The following is an 18,494-nucleotide window of genomic DNA, read 5'->3' on the forward strand; positions in this document are numbered from 1 at the left end:
TTAGAACTAAACTTCGGAGTAGAGTGGATTTCGTTTTTTCACCCTGAACAAAGCAGTTAATTTATGTTCAAGTTTCTGAGACAGAAGAGAAAAATGGAATATATAAACATTGCAGACAAGTAGTAGTTAACTTGAATTCCTCACCCATCTGCCAGGTACTGATAGAATTATAAGAGGTTTTTAAATTGACTATGTTTTGAAGGACCAAATATTTTATGTAGACTTTGTTTTGTTTCTTCTTATTAGCTCAGAGGTTCTTAAACTTTGTAGTACATAAAATTTATTTATAGGTCAAATATACAAAACCACATATATATGGTAATTGGAGGTAATTTAAGGATCGAGGATAATCATGACTGAAGAGCAGCCACCCGTCTGCACTTGAATATGGAATTCATTTTGTTTTGGGTTTTTTCCTAAGGATAGATTTCTATTCTTTTTCTTTTTGAGACGGAGTCTCGCTCTGTCGCCCAGGCTGGAGTGCAGTGGCGCCATCTCGGCTCACTGCAAGCTCCGCCTCCCGGGTTCACGCCATTCTCCTGCCTCAGCCTCCCAAGTAGCTGGGACGGCAGGTGCCCGCCACCATGCCCGGCTAACTTTTTGTATGTTTAGTACAGACGGGGTTTCACCATGTTAGCCAGGATGGTCTCGATCTCCTGACCTTGTGATCCGCCGGCCTCGGCCTCCCAAAGTGCTGGGATTACAGGCGTGAGCCACCGCGCCCGGCCTGATTTCTATTCTTTTTAGGTTATTTATTGTCAAGCGACCTTTAAAGATGACCAGTCGAGTATAATAGTGCCACTCAGACATTTGCCATCAGTAACTATTATTATTAAATTATACTCATTTGCTGGGCGCGGTGGCTCACGTCTGTAAGCCCAGCACTTTGGGAGGCCGAGGCGGGTGGATCATGAGGTGAGGAGTTTGAGTCCAGCCTGACCAACATGGTGAAACCCGGTCTCTACTAAAAAAATACAAAAATTAGCTGGGCCTAGTTGTGCTTGCCTGTAATTCCAGCTACTCAGGAGTCTGAGGCAGGAGAATCGCTTGAACCCAGGAGGCGGAGGTTGCAGTGAGCGGAGATCGCACCACCTCACTCCAGCCTGGGTGACAGAGCAAGACTCTGTCTCAAAAAAAAAAAAAAAAAAAATTATACTTAGTAATTTTTAGGTTTAAAAATGTCTCATTTTATTTTGCTTTTGGAGAATATTGTTTTTCATATGCTCATTAGCTCTTTGCATTTTCTCTCTCTGGCATTATTAATATTTTAATGTGCTAGTGTACCTTTTACTAGTTATTTTCTTCAGGATAGTTTTGGTTGCTAGAATCAGACCCCCATTCAAGCTAGCTTAATTAAAAGTTGCAGTGATGTTGATGGTGATGGGTTCCTGGGGATATAGATGATTTCCAAGAAACCCAGAGGAAAGGCTAGATCTCAGTATTAGGAATTGAAAGATTGTGAAGAACTAAAATGTCTCTTTTACCTAGAGTAGAAATGATCTAGTTCCCTGTAGCAGGTTCCACAGCTTAACTCTCCTGCAAGTGATTCAACATGGCCAACAACTTCTGTTTAAACCTACCAGCATTGACCTTTCAATTTGGTCTGCACCTCTGGTAGTAATCTTCAAGTCTCTGGGTTGAATATCCTAAGCAAGAATCTGGTTGGTGTTAATCAGCCAATTATTAGCTAGTTAGTTTAGTGTCTGGTCCAACTCTTCACCATCCATTATGAGGAATATCACGACAACCATGAGCTGCCAGATTCTAGGATGGGCAATGAGATCTTCAGCATAGACCAAGCCCATGGTTTTCAGATTTAATTGCACTTGAAATTCTAGCATGTTCCTTGAATGCCTATTTTATTTGTACATTTGGGATTTTTATCTCTGGGACTTTTTTCTGAAATATACCTAGTGATATTGCTATCAAAGCATGAAGAAATTTATCTTCAAATACTTATTTTCTTTTGATTCCAGTAATTGTCTGAATGACACATAATATGCCCGTTGTGGAAACAATTTTGATTTTTAAAACTTTATTTTCACAAAGCAACATCACATTTCTGGCTTGCAAATATTTCACAGGTGAAAACATCAAAAAGAAAACATTTAAATGCAAATGTCAGTCAGGGGAGATGCTGAGCTCAGTCTTTGTATTTCCTTCCAGATTTATCAGCGATGCTGGTTAGTATTCAAGAAAGCTTCAAGCAAAGGTCCAAAAAGACTGGAGAAATTTTCTGATGAACGTGCTGCATATTTCAGGTGTTATCATAAGGTAAGACTCAATTGCTGTAGCTTTCCAGTAATCTATTTACAGGGAGGCAACTGGAATTACTGACTGAAAACTTGCCTGAATTATTTAACAAAGGTACAAGCAATATCTTTTCCAAGGACAAAACACCCCTAAAATAACATCTGCTTGCTAATTGTTTCAAGTAATTGACTAATGTAAAGTCACTTTTCTGGTTTCCTGCTATTTGCTGTAGCTGTTCTTGCTGTTTTCCAGTCTCTGCTATGGGACTTATCATGTTGTTGTACTCCCTACACTGAAGCCCCGAGAGGATGAGGACTGGATCTCATTGTGTCTCAGACACTGCCTGATGCAGAAAGACACTCATTCAATGCTTGGGGAATGTGGGGAGAGAAGGGAGGGGAAGAAGCAGAAAACAGGTAACAGTGGACGAAGAGGAAGTTCTACCGATTTATTGTTTTCTTTAAGTTTGATGACTAAATTTTCTTAGTAGTAGTGAGATTTTCTCAATAAAAATAGTCATTGTGTGTTACAACTCATTAAGGTAAGTACAAGATTTACTTACCACGTGGATTCACAAATTAGCTAAATATTTCCCTCTACATGGCAGTATATTTCCGTGGTCCTTGTTAACACGCAGCCTATGTATTTTCTTTTTTCATGAAAACGTGTGAAAGCACATGGTTAACACTCCTCCGAGGCTCTGGTTATTTTCATATGGAGAAAATACTACTCTTTTGTCTATGAAGGAACTATGCTTATTTTTATGATAGAACATTTTAATTTTGGCTTTCCATCTTGAAGATTCTTTAAGCCTCATTTGGTGAGAATTTACTGGGGCCAGGCTTCTTTGCCATTTAAAATTTTATGCGAAACCAGTTGATCTATTAGAACAGAAACTTGGCTAGGTGGGGGAAGTGAACAGCTTTTCCTTTTGTGCAAATTCTCCAAAAGTAGTGACTTTTCGACACCTTATAAAGGGTCTATGATGACACTTTGGTTTATATGATGATGAAAACAATGGGGAAGCTGCATTTCTTCTCAAATTAGAGAAATAAGGACTACGTTATACTTTATAGGCACACCTGTATGTACATAAGGGAAGAATAAGCACAAAACAAGCTTTTGAGACAGGTAGAGAAGGGAGTCAAGGGTGGCGTCTTCCATGCATTTCATTTCCCTGTCACCCCATGAAGCAGTTCCACATTCCAAGGCTTCTCCCACTCCCAGCCTTTCTTCTCTCCAATGGAGAACCCACTTATACCTTTTTGAGTCCAGATTTCCTCTATCATTTATCTGTCATATGCCAAATATGAAATGACACTGTTCAAATATATATATTTTTTGTTCTCAGGGAGGAGTTGTTGAATTGAAAATGTATTATTTAGGCACAGTGATCCATGAAGCCAGTGATAGCATAACTCTGAACTCTGCAAATAATCTTGAGCCAAACTCTCCACTTTTATAACACTCTAAACTATTTGTATCCAGTCATTTTGAACCAGATGTATTATGGCCCAGTTATCCCTCATGTATCCAGTATTTTCCCTTATAACAAGATGGCGAGCAATGCTATAAGGATGACTTGCTTTATTTTTGCTAGAACAGCCTTTTCTTAAAAGAGAATCAAAATACCCAGGAAGATGTTTGGCTTATCATCTAGACACAGACAGAGCTTTAGGTGGCCAGAAAGTATAGTTACACATCAGGTCTTCTCTTGAGAACCTTAGCCGGTCTGTAACTTTGCAATTCACCCTGAGGCTCTGTACTGTCTGGTCATTGTGTGTGGCCTTTTGGTCCTTTTTTGTCTTGGTAGAGTTCCAAATATGTCTGGTTCTTCACAATCCAAACATCTAATTCTTCACAATTCCATATGCCAACCTTTCTGAATGTAGAAAAAATAAGAAATAGGCTATGTTACAGATAGACCTATACATACCTAAGAGAAGAAAGAAGATAAATGAGGAATACATTATAGGAACTCCTCAAATCCCATCCATCGGCAAATGGTGTTGGCTGTATGCTCAAAATGTATGGAGACTCTGAACACAGCTCACAGTCTCTACTGCTACTACTGGGGTCCTAGGCAGTGGGCTGCCAAATTCTTGGGCTTCTAGAGTCTGTTCGAAACACTTATATCACATCACGATATTCTTTGCTGCAACACCCTCAGCCAAGGTCTGATAATGGTCTATGCCAGTGGTCCCCAACCTTTTTGGCACCGGGACAGGTATCAGGGAAGACAATTTTTCCACAGACGGGGTTGGGGGCAGGATTGGTTTCGGGATGAAACTGTTCCACTTCAAATGATTAGGCATTAGATTCTCATAAGGAGCAGGCAACCTAGATCCCTAGCATGCACAGTTCACAATAGATTTTACACTTCTATGAGAATCAGGAGGTGGAGCTCAGGCAGGAATGCTTGCTCACCTTCTGCGGTGTAGCCGGGTTCCTAATAGGCTATAGACCAGTACTGGTCCAGTACCCATCTGCTGCCCAGGGATGAGGGTCCCTGGTCAATGCGATCACGCGATTTGATTTCTTGCTGCCCTTTTAACCTCATCTCTGAGTTTCCTTAATCCCACCTTCCTCTTCTCCAGGTGCCCTGGGCTCCTCTCTTTCCTTGGAAGATGCCAAGCACCTCCTGCCCTTTATACCTGCTCTTCCCTTTTCCTGGAATGCTCTCCCCCAGGTACCCACAGAGCTCGCTCCCTTACTTTGTTCAGTGCGTTGCTCAAATTGCTCCTCTAAGAGAGGCCATTTCTTGACTCCCTTGTTGGAAATAGAACCCACCTACTCACTGCCTTCCACATCCCTCTTATTGCTCTTCTCAGGAGGCACCAGAACATAACACACTTGCTTGGTTGTTTCCTATTGTCTTCCCCTCTTCCCCGCATAAAATACGGTCTACAAAGACAGGGATTTTTTGGGGATGGGAGACATGATTCACTATTAGTTACCAGAATCTAACACATAGTGAACACTTTTAAAAGTATTGGCTGAAAAGCAAGAAATGTTATCAGTAGAGGAAATGGAATACATACAGATGTCTATGTGTCATACTTTTATTTAGTTTACCAGAAGAAATCTGTACTTGAGGCATCTGAAACCAGAAAAAGAAACTTTGATTTGGAGAAAATAGGGTGGGCAGTGATGGAAGCAGAAAAAGCCAGGATTTGGATGTTTTAGGAGGACAGAAAAATATAAAACCAAAGTGGATGAAAAAGCTCTTGCTTGAATGTGAAATGAATAAAGGGAAGTTGAGGACAAACTTGCTCTATTTCAGACTTCTACCTGCTGGCTTTGGAATTTAATATGTAAATCTTTGGGGAAATTGGTAAGCCACATTCTCTTTCACCTATAATAATCATTAACCAAAGTTCAAAGCATTAGAATGGAAGAATTATCTACATTTAGCCTCCAAGCCCTTGATGAATTCCTGTAGCTGATTCATCCTCTACTCTTTTAGATCTGATACATTTAGTATTAATCTCTCGGGGCACATAAAAAGCTGGAGTAATTCTGAGATATGCATTTTTCATCTAAATGCTGTGTAATTTATGAATCTTGATAATAAAATACTGGGGTTATAAGTAGCACACCGTGACCAAATTTTAGAGTTTATTCTAACATAAATAAAGCCGTTTCCAAAAGAAATGAGGAAATGTACATCATGCTATTTGATCAATACGGAGGTGGTGTGGTGGATGCAGACATATCCCTCCCATAGGAAATCTTAGCCTTTATAAGAGCACAGTACTTCTCCCATTTTATTTTTAAAGATATTATTAAGAAAAAAATGCCAGTTTTGCATATCTGACTCTTTTTAGAAGTTTCAACACAAGAAAAAGATTGTAGAATTTTAAAATTTGGTACCCCCTCACTGAAAATGTAGCTCGAAGTACACTCCTGCAAAAATTGGAAAATAAACATATGAATAATGCACATATAGAACAATTTATTTTTTATTTCTTACTTCCTCCACGAAGCACCCCTCAAGCACCCATAGCTGTCAGAGATGGCTGCAAATTTGATTAACTGTAATTCCCACAATAGTAAGACTCCAGTGACTTTAAATATAGTTTCTGACCTTGTTAAACACTAGTTCCATGTTTTCCTTCAGGAAATAATGTTGCTTATACTAATTAGAAGGGGATGAAAGTTTCTGTGCATAGTTTTACTTTTTCAAGATGAGTAACACTTGAGAGGAAATAGAGTGGAAGGAAGACCATTGACCGCTTTTGAGACCAAGGCAAATGGTATGGTGAGAAGTATGCCGGTCCTGGATTTAGGTAGCCTGAGTTCTAATCCCAGCTTTGCCACCGTATATGTCTGACAAGTCATCCTCTTTCTGTGTAAAGGTGGCCTCCAAGGCAAGTCACACATTTGCTTCCTCATCATCACATGTGGCTGAGTCTGCAGGGATTCGGTTCACCTTGGACCAGAAGGACAAGTCCAGCAAATCCTGTGTTTAATGTTTCCCAAAATGTGAACGAAAGAGTGTGTCAAAAGAGCCTTTCATGATTAAATGTTGTGTGGTCAAAGAAATTGGCAACTGCAACGTTTATGGCCCCATCTTTGAGATTCATAACCCACTGCAGCCCCTCATGGGCTCTGAAAAGTCCTACAGTTAAGAAATTGGAGGGACTTTGAGTCAGCATTTCCAAAACAGCTGGGCCATGGAACTATTTGTTTTAATCGTGTGTTCCATGGAACAAATAAATTTAATTCTAGGGAACACAGTCTGGGATTTGCTGCTTTCATGTGTTAACTTATTGTTGTTTCAACAGTAAACAACTAGGGATGATCGTTTCTACTTTATCTAAATCAGGGTTAATGTGTGTATTAAATGAACGTGAATGTATTTGAAAAGGGAACAACTCTCTAACTGTAGAGATTAATTGCCATTATTATTTTTATTCTCCCAAACACCTTTGGTCTTATTTGTTCTGTCATTCTACCCTTTATAGTGACTAGGTCATTTGTATCTCCTAAGCTCAATGTCAGACCTTGTTCTTCGTTTCTGCAAAAATAGGATTCTAGCTTCCGCACAATGAGCTAATGTCCTAAAATTTATTTCTCTGGAATTTCATCCAACTTATCTGTGTGTGTGTGTGATAACCTTTTCTGTACTAATGATTCATTCTTTTTTTACACAGTTTCTTCCTCATCTAAAACATTTCCTCTTCCGATACAGCTGTCTATAATATGTCTTTTCAAAATCATAAAATGTCACAGCCCCCTCTTTCAATACTCAGATATTTACTTTGGAGTCATCCCCTCCTCATGTAAGAAACTACCCACCATGCCATATTCTAGAAGTTTCCTAAGCTTATGCCAAAGAGGACATGACTCTTCACATCTCCATAAATTAAATGATGGATTATTACTCTGATGTTTTTCCCAGGTGATAAATAATTCCATATCCACATTTCTAAGGCTTAGGTAAATTAGATAAAAGAGGTTGACTGTAGTACAAAACACCCTATTTTTCCAATTTAAGTACTTTTTTCTAGTCAAGGAAGTATGAGTCAGTACCAGAGTGCCAAAGACTCCTGAAACACGTTCAAAACTGACTGAACTCTTTCCTACCCAAGCTTGGTTTCTTTCTTTCCTTTTTTCAGATGGAGTTTTGCTCTTGTTGCCCAGGCTGGAGCGCAATGGCACGATCTCGGCTCACTGCAACCTCTGTCTCCTGGGTCCAAGTGATTCTTCTGCTTCAGCCTCCCAAGTAGCTGGGATCACAGGCATCCACCACCATGCCCAGCTAATTTTTTGTATTTTTAGTAGAGACGGGGTTTCACCAGGTTGGCCAGGCTGGTCTCGAACTCCTGACCTCAAGTGATCCACCCACCTTGGCCTCCCAAAGTGCTGGGATTACAGGTGTGAGCCACCATGCCCGGCCTGAGCTTGGTTTCTTTATGGGCTTCTGTGGCTCATTGTACAGCATCAGGATCCATTCTGTTATTCAAGGCAGAAGCCAGGGAGTTGTCTTTGACTTACTCTCTTCCATATTCCCTCTCAAATCAATCCATCACCAGGTTTGCATGCAGCACTCCCGCTGTATAGACCCCTTTTCTTTCGTGGTCCATGTGGCAAACATTTATCAATCCCTCAAAGTCTCTGCTCTGTCTTCACCTCCCCAAGAGTCTTCTCGACTTTCCCTGAGGTGGTTCATCTGCTGGGCCCCCTCTGCCTGGATGCACTGGTCACAATGAAAGCAGGGCTTTATTTTCATGGTGGTGGCAGGTTCTGTCCATTTGGGGCTGATCCCTTCTTCTTTGGTAATGGATGTCTGATTTCTAGTTGGAGACAAGGCAACCCATAGTAAAGACCCCTGTGCAGAGAGATATGTTCCTGCAACTGATTCCTGGCCTCAGGGGAATAAGCACAGAAGACACATACCCTTCTTCGTCTCTTGTTCTTTCCTACTGATTCGAAAATGGGCGTCAGCCATCTTGGCCCATGATACTGGAAAGCTCATGGATTGAGGGTAGCCCAGCAACAGGTGAAGCCTGGAACTGGGTGCTCAGGGCTGGTCTGTTCTCCCTCACACTGTAGAACCCCAGGGCAACCCAAGACTACTTACCTCTGGATTTGTTTTATATGAGAGGAATAAACTTCTTTCTTGTTTAAGCCTTTATTTATTTATTTTTAAGACAGAGTTTTGCTCTTGTTGCCCAGGCTGGAGTGCAATGGTGCGATCTCGGCTCACCGCAACCTCCACCTCCCAGGTTCAAGCGATTCTCCTGCCTCAGCCTTCCCAAGTAGCTGGGATTATAGGCATGCGCCACCAAGTCCGGCTAATTTTGTATTTTTAGTAGAGATGGGGGTTTCTCCTTGTGGGTCAGTCTGGTCTCGAACTCCCGACCTCAGGTGATCCGCCCACCTCGGCCTTCCAAAGTGCTGGGATTACAGGCGCGAGCCACTGCGCCTGGCCACGTTTAAGCCTTTATAATGCTGGATTTTCTCTTGTGTGCACCAGAGTCCTAGCTATTAGAGATGTAGTAAAATTTCCTCATCATCCAATGCACTCTGGGTAGGGAATTCTGTTATTCACAGCCAGGAGTATCCTGACATGGTCACTGTCCGTTGGATTTGAATTTCTTGAAGATAGAAACCATGCTTTATTCATCTTTGTATCTATCTTTCCAACATAGTGTCTCATGCAAAGTAGGTACTTTGGATTCTACAGGCCCTTACGGTTCCCAGGAAATGATTCTTGGCCTACTTATACTAGTATTGCATAGTAGAAATGTTAGGGAACCCTGGTGTATTGAGAATTAAAAGGGCCATGTGACTCACATGCCAAATTCTCTGTCATCTGAGCACATGCATGGTTTTGTCTTATGGAGAAGACCTTCTAATAACAGAGATAATGACATCATATTTTAAATTTTATTTATTATTATTATTATTTGAGACAGTGTCTTGCTTTGCCATCCAGGCTAGAGTGCAGTGGTGCTATCTTGGCTCATTGCAACCTCTGCCTCCTGGGCTTAAGCAGTCCTCCCACCTCAGCCTCCTGAGTTGCTGGAACTACAGGCGTGCGCCACCATGCCCAGCTGATTTTTTATTATTTGTAGAGACAGGGTCTTGCTACATTGTCCATGCTGGTCTCGAACTCGTGGGCTCAAGTGATTCTCCCTCCTTGGCCTCCCAAAGTGCTGGGATTACAGGCACGAGCCACTGTGCCAGGCCTCATTTGTACGCATATTTACATTAAAAAAATCAATCTAAAACATACAGAAGGTTAAAAAAAAAATCAAATGGTATTGAAGCGCTTATCATGAAAAGTAGCAGTGCCTACTTTATTCCCACCCTTCTGTTGTGGGTTGAATTGTGACCTCCCAAAAATATATGCCTAAGGTGTAACTGCTGGTACCTGTGGATGTGACTTTATTTGGAACTAGGATCTTTGTAATGTATTCAAGTTGCTGTGGGATTATCGGATTAGAGTGGACCCCAGTCCCATAGCTGGTACCCTTATAAGAAGAGACACAGACCCACAGGGAGAAAGCCATGTGAAGACAGGCAGACACTGGAGTGATACAATTAAAAGCCAAAGGTGTCAAGGACTGCGGCAGCCACCAGACCGTAGGATAGATGCATGGAACAGACTCTCCCTCACAGCCTCCAGTAGGAACCAACCCTGCCAGCACCTTGATTTTGGGCTCTGGCCTCCAGAACTGTGACAGCATACATTTCTGTTGTGCAAGACACCTAGTACTTTGTTACTGCAACCCTACTCTAGGAAACGAATTCACCTCCCGAGGCTTAATCACCATTGTCATTCCCTGGTGTTCATTTTCCTGGTGGTTGCCTCTGTAACTCTCAATGATGTGTTTATAACTTTGTTTCTTGTTTTATTAACTTCCAACATTACCAACAGATTCCTCCCCTTTAGAAAGTTAATGGTTTGGCTCATTTATGTAATCTCATCAACTCTTTCTTCTTCCTTACAAATTGTGACAATTACATTACTTTCAATAAATATTCTACTGTATGTGGAACATTCAATAACATGGTTAAACCTCTGTGCCCTTCCCCATAAATGTTCTGATACTGAGACTGATTCTTATATCAGTCTCAGTTGTTAACGATCTTATTGCCTGTCCCCTTTGCTTTTCTCTTCTCTATTTGTCAGGTTTTTTTTTTTTTTTTTTTTTTACTTTCATGTTATTCAATACCAGATTCTTGTCTTACAGCAATGTGGGCTCGCTCTTGTCACACGTTCCATTGTTTCGAGAGAAACTGGAAGCAAAGATCTTTTAGTTGAACACTTTCAATATTTAACTGTAATTTTAAAATATAAGAAAGTATAAATTGAATATCTCTCCGGGTGATTGGCCTGAAAGCTGCCTTTAAAATTTTTTTTAAATCTCTTATTTACCCCTTGAACTAATGCTAGAAAGAGAAAGCAATGGTATTCCCAGGAGGCAACATGTGGCACTATACTTAGTAGGTCTACTATTTTAATATGTGTAAATTACAAATAAAACTATCATCATACTTTATTGCGTTGGACCTAGACTCCTATTTTCTTTCAGTTATTTATAGTTTATATAGATACATTCATTGTGATGAAAACATTACAAATACTTCAGCTATAATAAGACTTCTATGGCTGGGCACGGTGGCTCACGCCTGTAATCCCAGCACTTTGGGAGGCTGAGGTGAGCGGATCATGAGGTCAGGAGATCAAGACAATCCTGGCTAACACGGTGAAACCCCGTCTCTACTAAAAAAAATACAAAAAACAAAATTAGCTGGGCATGGTGGTGGGTGCCTGTGGTCCCAGCTACTCGGGAGGCTGAGGCAGGAGAATGGCATGAACCTGGGACGCGGAGCTTGCAGTGAGCCAAGATTGCACCACTGCATTCCAGCCTCGGCGACAAAGCAAGACTCCGTCAAAAAAAAGATTTTTATTAGAGATACACATATGCTTCCCAAAATATTATTTTGGTCAACACCATTGAAACCATCAAGGACAAATTTGTGTCTATGCCTCCTCTGTAAGAGTACCCTAATTGTGATTGGAAAGCTGAATGTTTTATATGCCAGAATGACAGGTTTCAAAGAAAACACAAAGAACAAAATCAGAGAGAGAGAAAAAAAATACATATACCATGTAGTATGACCATGGTTGAAACAAGGTCAAAGGTGATGTCAATCCCATGTTGTAACATCTACGGGGGCAGGAGTCACAAACGTTGGATCAGATATCACCTGTGAGTTGCAAGTACAAGGTAGTTTCAAAGCTGTGCCTCTGCAATATTTCTTTTCTTCTTTTTGAGGATTCCCGTCACCCTTAGAATTATATCAAAGCTCATTGCCAATACCCTGGTCTCCTAAGCCCTGTATGATTCTGCTCCAGCACATTTCTCCGACTTGCCATGCCACTTGTCACTTTGCTACAATGACCTCCCTTCATTTGTCCTGTCTCAAAGCCTTTGCAGTTTCTGTTCCTTTGTTCTATTGAGCTCTCCCCCATTTTTTTTCTCTTCCTTCAGGGATTAGCTCAATTTCACTGCCTGAAAAGGGCCTTATTTGAATACTCCATGCTTCTCAGAATCACATTTCTTTAGTACTGTACTCTCACTTTATGTGTGGGGGATACATTCCAAGACCCCCAGTGGATGGCTGCAACTGTGTATACCTCTCAACCCTATATATTCTATGTTTTTTCCTATCCATACATACCTATGATAAAGTTTAATTCATAAATTAGGCACAATAAGAGATTGACAATAACTAATAATAAAATAGAACAATTATAACAATATACTGTAATAAAAGTTATATGAATGTGGCCTCTCTCTCTCAAAATATCTATTGTACTATACTCACCTATTTTCAGACCACAGCTGACTGTGGGTAACCTGAAGCCTCTGAAACAGAAACTATGGACAAGAAAAACTACCATATATTAAGTAGATAGCCTTTCTCACTGTTGAAATTATGTTGGCCAGGTGCAGTGGCTCACGCCTGTGATCTCAGTATTTTGGGAGGCTGAGGTGGGAGGATCACTTGAGCCCAGGAGTTTGAGAGCAGCCTGAGCAGCATAGTCTCAACATAGTCTCTCTAACATTGTCTCTTAAGAAAACATAATCTACATGTATATTTGTTTACTGCTAGTATACCTTAAGCTCCAAGAAACTTATTGTGTGCATGTTGTCACCTGTAGGTTCTTGTATCCATCACCACATTAAGATACTGAACATGGTCGGGCGCAGTGGCTCAGGCCTGTAATCCCGGCACTTTGGGAGGCCGAGGCAGGCGGATCACGAGGTCAGGAGATCATCCTGGCCAACAGGGTGAAACCATGTCTCTACTAAAAAATACAAAAAAATTAGCCGGGCGTGGTGGTGTGTGCCTGTAGTCCCAGCTACTCAGAAGGCTGAGGCAGGAGAATCACTTGAACCCGGGAGGCAGAGGCTGCAGTGAGTGGAGATCACGTCACTGCACTCCAGCCTGGTGACAGAGCGAGATTCCGTCTCAAAAAAAAAAAAAAAACCCTGAACATTTCCATCAGCAAGAGGACTTTTTGTGTTGCCCTTTCATAATCACATCCTCCAGTCCTCCCACCCCACCACCCCAGCAGGCACTAATTTGTTTCCCATTTCTACAGTTTTTTTTTTCTTTTCAAGAATGTTTAATCGTTTGGGATTGGCCTTCTTCACGCAACATAACTCCCTTGGGACTTATCCAAGTTGCTGTGCATAGCAATAGTCCATTCCCTTTTACTGCTAAGTAGTAATCCATAGTATACATTCCCAGAGTTTGCATACATTCATCCACTGACGAACATCTGGGTCGTTTTTAGTTTCTCATCATTACAAATAAAATTGGTATGAATATTCAAGTTCATGTTGAATGAACATAAGTTGTCCCCCCTCCTCTCCATTTCTGGGATAAATTCTGAAGAAAGTAATTGCTGGGTCATATGGTAGTTGCACGTTTAGTTTTGTAAAAAGCTGTCCAACTGTGTTCCAGAGGGACTCTACCATTTTACAGTCCCATGAGCAGTATATGAGTAATCCAGTTTCTCTGCATTCTCACCAGCATTTGGCATTTGGTGGTGTCACTATTTTTATTTTAGTCATTCTTTTCTTTTTGAGACAGGATCTTGCTCTGTCACCCAGGCTGGAGTGCAGTGGTATGATTAGGGTTCACTGCGGCCTTGAAGGCCTGGCCTCAAGAGATCCTCTCACTTCAGCCTACCAAGTAGCTAGGACTACAGGCATGCACCACCATGCTTGGCTAATTTTTTAATGCTTTGTAGAGATGAGGTCTCACTGTGTTGCCCAGGCTGGACTTGAACTCCTGGCCTCAAGGGATCCTCCCTCCTCAGCCTCCCGAAGCACTGGGATTTATTTTAGTCATTCTAATAGTGACATTTCACTGTGGTTTTAATTTGCATTCCCTGGTGGCTAATGATGTTGAACATGCTTCTGTATATCTTCTATGAAATGTCTCTTTATGTATTTGACCTATTTTCTATTTTTTTTTTACTATTGAGTATTGGGAGTGTGTGCGTTTGTGTGTGTGCGTGTATGTGTGTATATATATGTGTCAGATTGTGCTGGAAAATATGTTCTCCCAGTGCATAGATTTTTCTTTCACCCTCTTAACAGGATCTTTTCCAGAAGAAAAGTATTAATTTTGATGAGACCCAATTTCTGAATTTTTACCTTTATTGTTCATGCTTTTGGTGTAAAGTCTAAGAACTCCTTGCCTGAAGTTCAATCCTAAAGATTTTCTTGTTTTTTTCTTAAGAAAAAAGGTATAGTTTTAAGTTTTACATTTAAATATGATTCATTTTGAGTTTAATTTTTGTATTAGGAGTGAAATGTGGATTGAATTTAATTCTTTTCCCTGTGATTGTCCAATTATTCCACTATCATTTGTTGAAAAAAATTATTCTTTCCTTATTGAATTGATTTTTTTACCTTTGTCAAAAATTATTTGGGCATATTTATGTGAGTCTGTTCCTAGATTCTCTATTCTTTTCCATTGATCTGTATATCTGTTTCTCTGCCAATATCATACTCTCTTGATTACTGTAGCTATATAGTAATCTTTAATATTGGGTAGAGTGATTCATTTCACTTTATTCTCTTTTTCAAAGTTATTTTAGCTAATCTAGTGGCTGTGCCTTTCCATAAAACTTAAAAATAAGCCTGTCTATATCTACAGAAAATCCTTGTTGGGATTTTGAGAGTTATGTTAAGCCTATAGAGCAAATTGTGGGAGAACCGATATCTTTTCTATGTTAAGTCCATTCATGAACATGGTATGATTCTCCATTTGTTAGAGGCTTTTTAAAATTTATTTCATCAGCATTTTCTAATGTTCAGCCTTCAAATCCTATGTGTTTTATTACATTTATACCTGATTATTTCATTTAATTTGTATTAAATTTTAAGGTTTTTAAAATTGAGTATCTAATTTGTATAAGCCAGTCATTTTTGGCCTATGATATGACAAAACAATCATCTAGTTTTCTCTCCTACCCCACAATTATTTAACTAATCTTAGAAATGATTAATTGTCTTTGCATTTTGGGAAGAGCATCAGGTTTTTAACAGTTTATAAAAGTTTAATTTGTTTAGTCTGTCATTGGACTATTTGTTTTTTGTTAGCTTAGTTATATTCTGAAGAAACACACAATACACATAATGACATAAGAAAAACAAGACAAAACCAAACTTTACTTATGAAGTGAATTGATTGTAGATGTTTTTCCTCCATTCATGTGTTTCTTACATGAATTTCTTAATAGCGTATACCTCTAAGATACAATCTATCCAGTTTCACATTTGTATGCATATGTGCATAAACACTTAAACATAATCCAAGTACACATATAATCTCTTTGTACATGATGCCAAAAGGAAAGGGTGGGTTTTCTCAAGTTGGTGAAAAGTTTGTCAGATAGTTTTTCCGTTTGGGAGAAATCACAGGCTATTATTAGCCAAGGCAGTCAATGCCCAAAAAATTCTATTGACAAAAGATGGAAATCTACTAATCGGTTTACATTTTTTTGCAGATTTATTTTTTCTCTTTACACTTCTTATTTTTTAAGTTATTAAAAAAAGCATGTTTTTTGTAACAAATATAAATGTTTCTGGCTGGGCGCAGTGGCTCACGCCTGTAATCCCAGCACTTTTGGAGGCTGAGGCTGGTGGATCACGAGGTAAGGAGATCGAGACCATCCTGGCTAACATGATGAAACCCCGTCTCTGCTAAAAATACAAAAAATTAGCCGGGTGTGGTGGCGGGCGCCTGTAGTCCCAGCTACTCGGGAGGCTGAGGCAGGAGAATGGCCCGTGAACCCGGGAGGCGGAGCTTACAGTGAGCCGAGTTCACGCCACTGCACTCCAGCCTGGGCGACAGAGCAAGACTCTATCTCAAAATAAATAAATAAATAAATAAACGTTTCTGAAATGTATGGACTAAAACGCAAAAAAAAAAAAAAAAAAAAAATTCTGATGTTGGACCCTAGTCCCTGCCGTCAGAAAAAAATGCTAATAGTTTAATGTGCATTTTTCAAACTCTTTACTCTGTCTGCACACACAGAAACATATTCTCACACACATATAAATTAGTTTTAGAGGTAAAATGGAGTAATTCATTACATATTATACATATTATATTTAAGCAGTTCATAAATTCAGGCTTCCGTAGGACACATTTGGTGAGCCTGTGGTTCTTGCGTAAATTATAGTGGCAGTTCCTTTCATATTCAAAATATTGTGGTTAATGAGATAAATTATATGATCACACGAATTGCCCTAGTCCCCTTTTCCTCATGTTTTGACTATAATTCTAAGTCAGTAATTAATGGCTCTACCTCCTTAATTTAACAGCTCTAGCGTACTGTTTAATATCAATACACCATAATCTGTTTAAGCATACCCAAATTGGTGGACAAAAATGTTTCCAGTTTTTGCTAATACCAATTCTATTACAGTAAAGAATGTGTGCATCTATTTTTATGTGCTCAGACTAATGTTTGTGGACGAAACAGTCTTAGAAGTGAGGTATCAGGTAATAGCCTGCACCTTTAAGTTTTTTTCTGGTTACTGCCAGGATGTCTCTAAGAAGGTTATATAAAATCATACACCCACTGACAGCTTATGAAAGTCCCCCTCATGTCAGATTCCATTCTCTCTGTAAATTTCAGATGCAAACTTCTCAACTTAAGCATTTTTAAAAGAATGCACGGTGCACAAATGGATTATTTTAGTTATTTCACATGGACAAATAAAGAGCCACTCTTCAAGGAGACGTCCACATTTATAACTCAGACAGGCGCTAGTCCCTATTTTAAGTGACCTAGGGCATGTAGATATTTTTGGAAGGAATGAAACCATGTATATGGGGACTGGAATATAACTGTCTAGACTGGTTCTTTCTTAAGAAAATTTTAATAAAAGTGTTTGCTTAAACTGCTATGTTCAAGGGTCCTGGGAGGAGCTTGGATGAAATGTCTTGTGGATAAAATTTTTGATGAAAACTGAGCATGTTTCTCTTTGCTCGCTTCTCCCTGCTCACTGGCACTGTATATTTAAGCCATTGGTATTTTTTTAGAAAAGATAATATGAAAAGGTTAAAAGTTTTGTAACACATTATACAACATCTTTTGGAAATTTCTAATAGAAATGCTTATTAGAGTATTTTAGAGTACTCTGCCATTTAAACATAATCGTATAAAAATAATTGTTATAATTTAATTGGGTTATTTACTAACACTTCAGAAACATTGTGGACTCAGAAATGGATGGTTTTCATGTTAGTTTTATTTTTGAAGACAACGTACAAAAGTTAAAGGGGCTTGTGCCTCTTTATTTTCGGTAGGATAATGGTAGGATAATTAAATTGTTTTTTAAGAATGAAACAATTTGAAGCTTCTGCAGAGCTTTGCAATTTGCATATACAAAGTGAATTGCTCACTTAATTCATTCAGTCCCACAAGGGAAAAAATAATTAGGATACAACCTACAAAGCAAGGCGGAAAATTACCTTTTATGTAGCAGTCTTGTTTTTACTTGGTAAACATAAATAAATCATCATCTGTAAATTACCATCAGCAAAAGAAAGGGAAAAATTGGAAATCTGATCCTTTTTTTTTTAAATGGCTTTTGACTTTGCAGCATGTCAGAAACATAGTTGATATCCCCACAAAATGCAGATTAATTGCATAATTCTGACAGGAATATGCCAGTTCCTGAAGGGAATGTGCCTTTAAAAATCCCATTGTAGTAATCTTTTTGAAACAGCAGAAGAAATTTCAACAGTTTCCCGTCTAGTTACAAAATAATCCATTTGGAAAATTGAATTGTGTAATTTGCAATGGTTTTCCAAGTTGTTAATGCAAAACTATATCGGTAGCAAATTAAACATTTAAAGTATGACCACTTTGTTAATTGTTGGCTGTTAAACATTTATTTCAATGAATACTATCATTTATGATGAATAAGACATCTGGAGTATGGCTTTAAACAGAAAAATTAATTTGGCAGTCCATTTTTGGAAATTCTTAATTGGATGGCATAAAGATTTATCTGTAATTTAGGAGAGTGTTGAGTATTTCTTTCTTTTGTTGGAATCACAGTACTTTGTGTATTTGATACTCAGAAAGCTAGAAACCAAGAACTGCATAGTAATTAACTATTTCTTAAATATCTCCCTGCTTTTTTATTCCTCTTTATTCTTACCTAGGTGAAAGTCCTAATTGC

The 18,494-nt window shown here is 39.3% G+C and overlaps 1 protein-coding gene across 4 annotated transcripts in view; it reads left to right on the forward strand.

Annotated features, from left to right (window-relative positions):
* DOK5 (docking protein 5) overlaps window positions 1–18,494 on the forward strand; it is a 175,577-nt gene that overhangs the window by 77,174 nt on the left and 79,909 nt on the right. For all 4 annotated transcript variants that reach the window (NM_018431.5, NM_177959.3, XM_011528904.2 and 1 more), the window contains exon 2: window positions 2,167–2,274. In NM_018431.5, the coding sequence (NP_060901.2) occupies window positions 2,167–2,274 (108 nt within the window). The remainder of the gene's footprint in view (window positions 1–2,166; window positions 2,275–18,494) is intronic.

The sequence above is a fragment of the Homo sapiens genome, chromosome 20 (assembly GCF_000001405.40).
Source record: "Homo sapiens chromosome 20, GRCh38.p14 Primary Assembly".
Classification (NCBI taxonomy): Eukaryota; Metazoa; Chordata; class Mammalia; order Primates; family Hominidae; genus Homo; species Homo sapiens.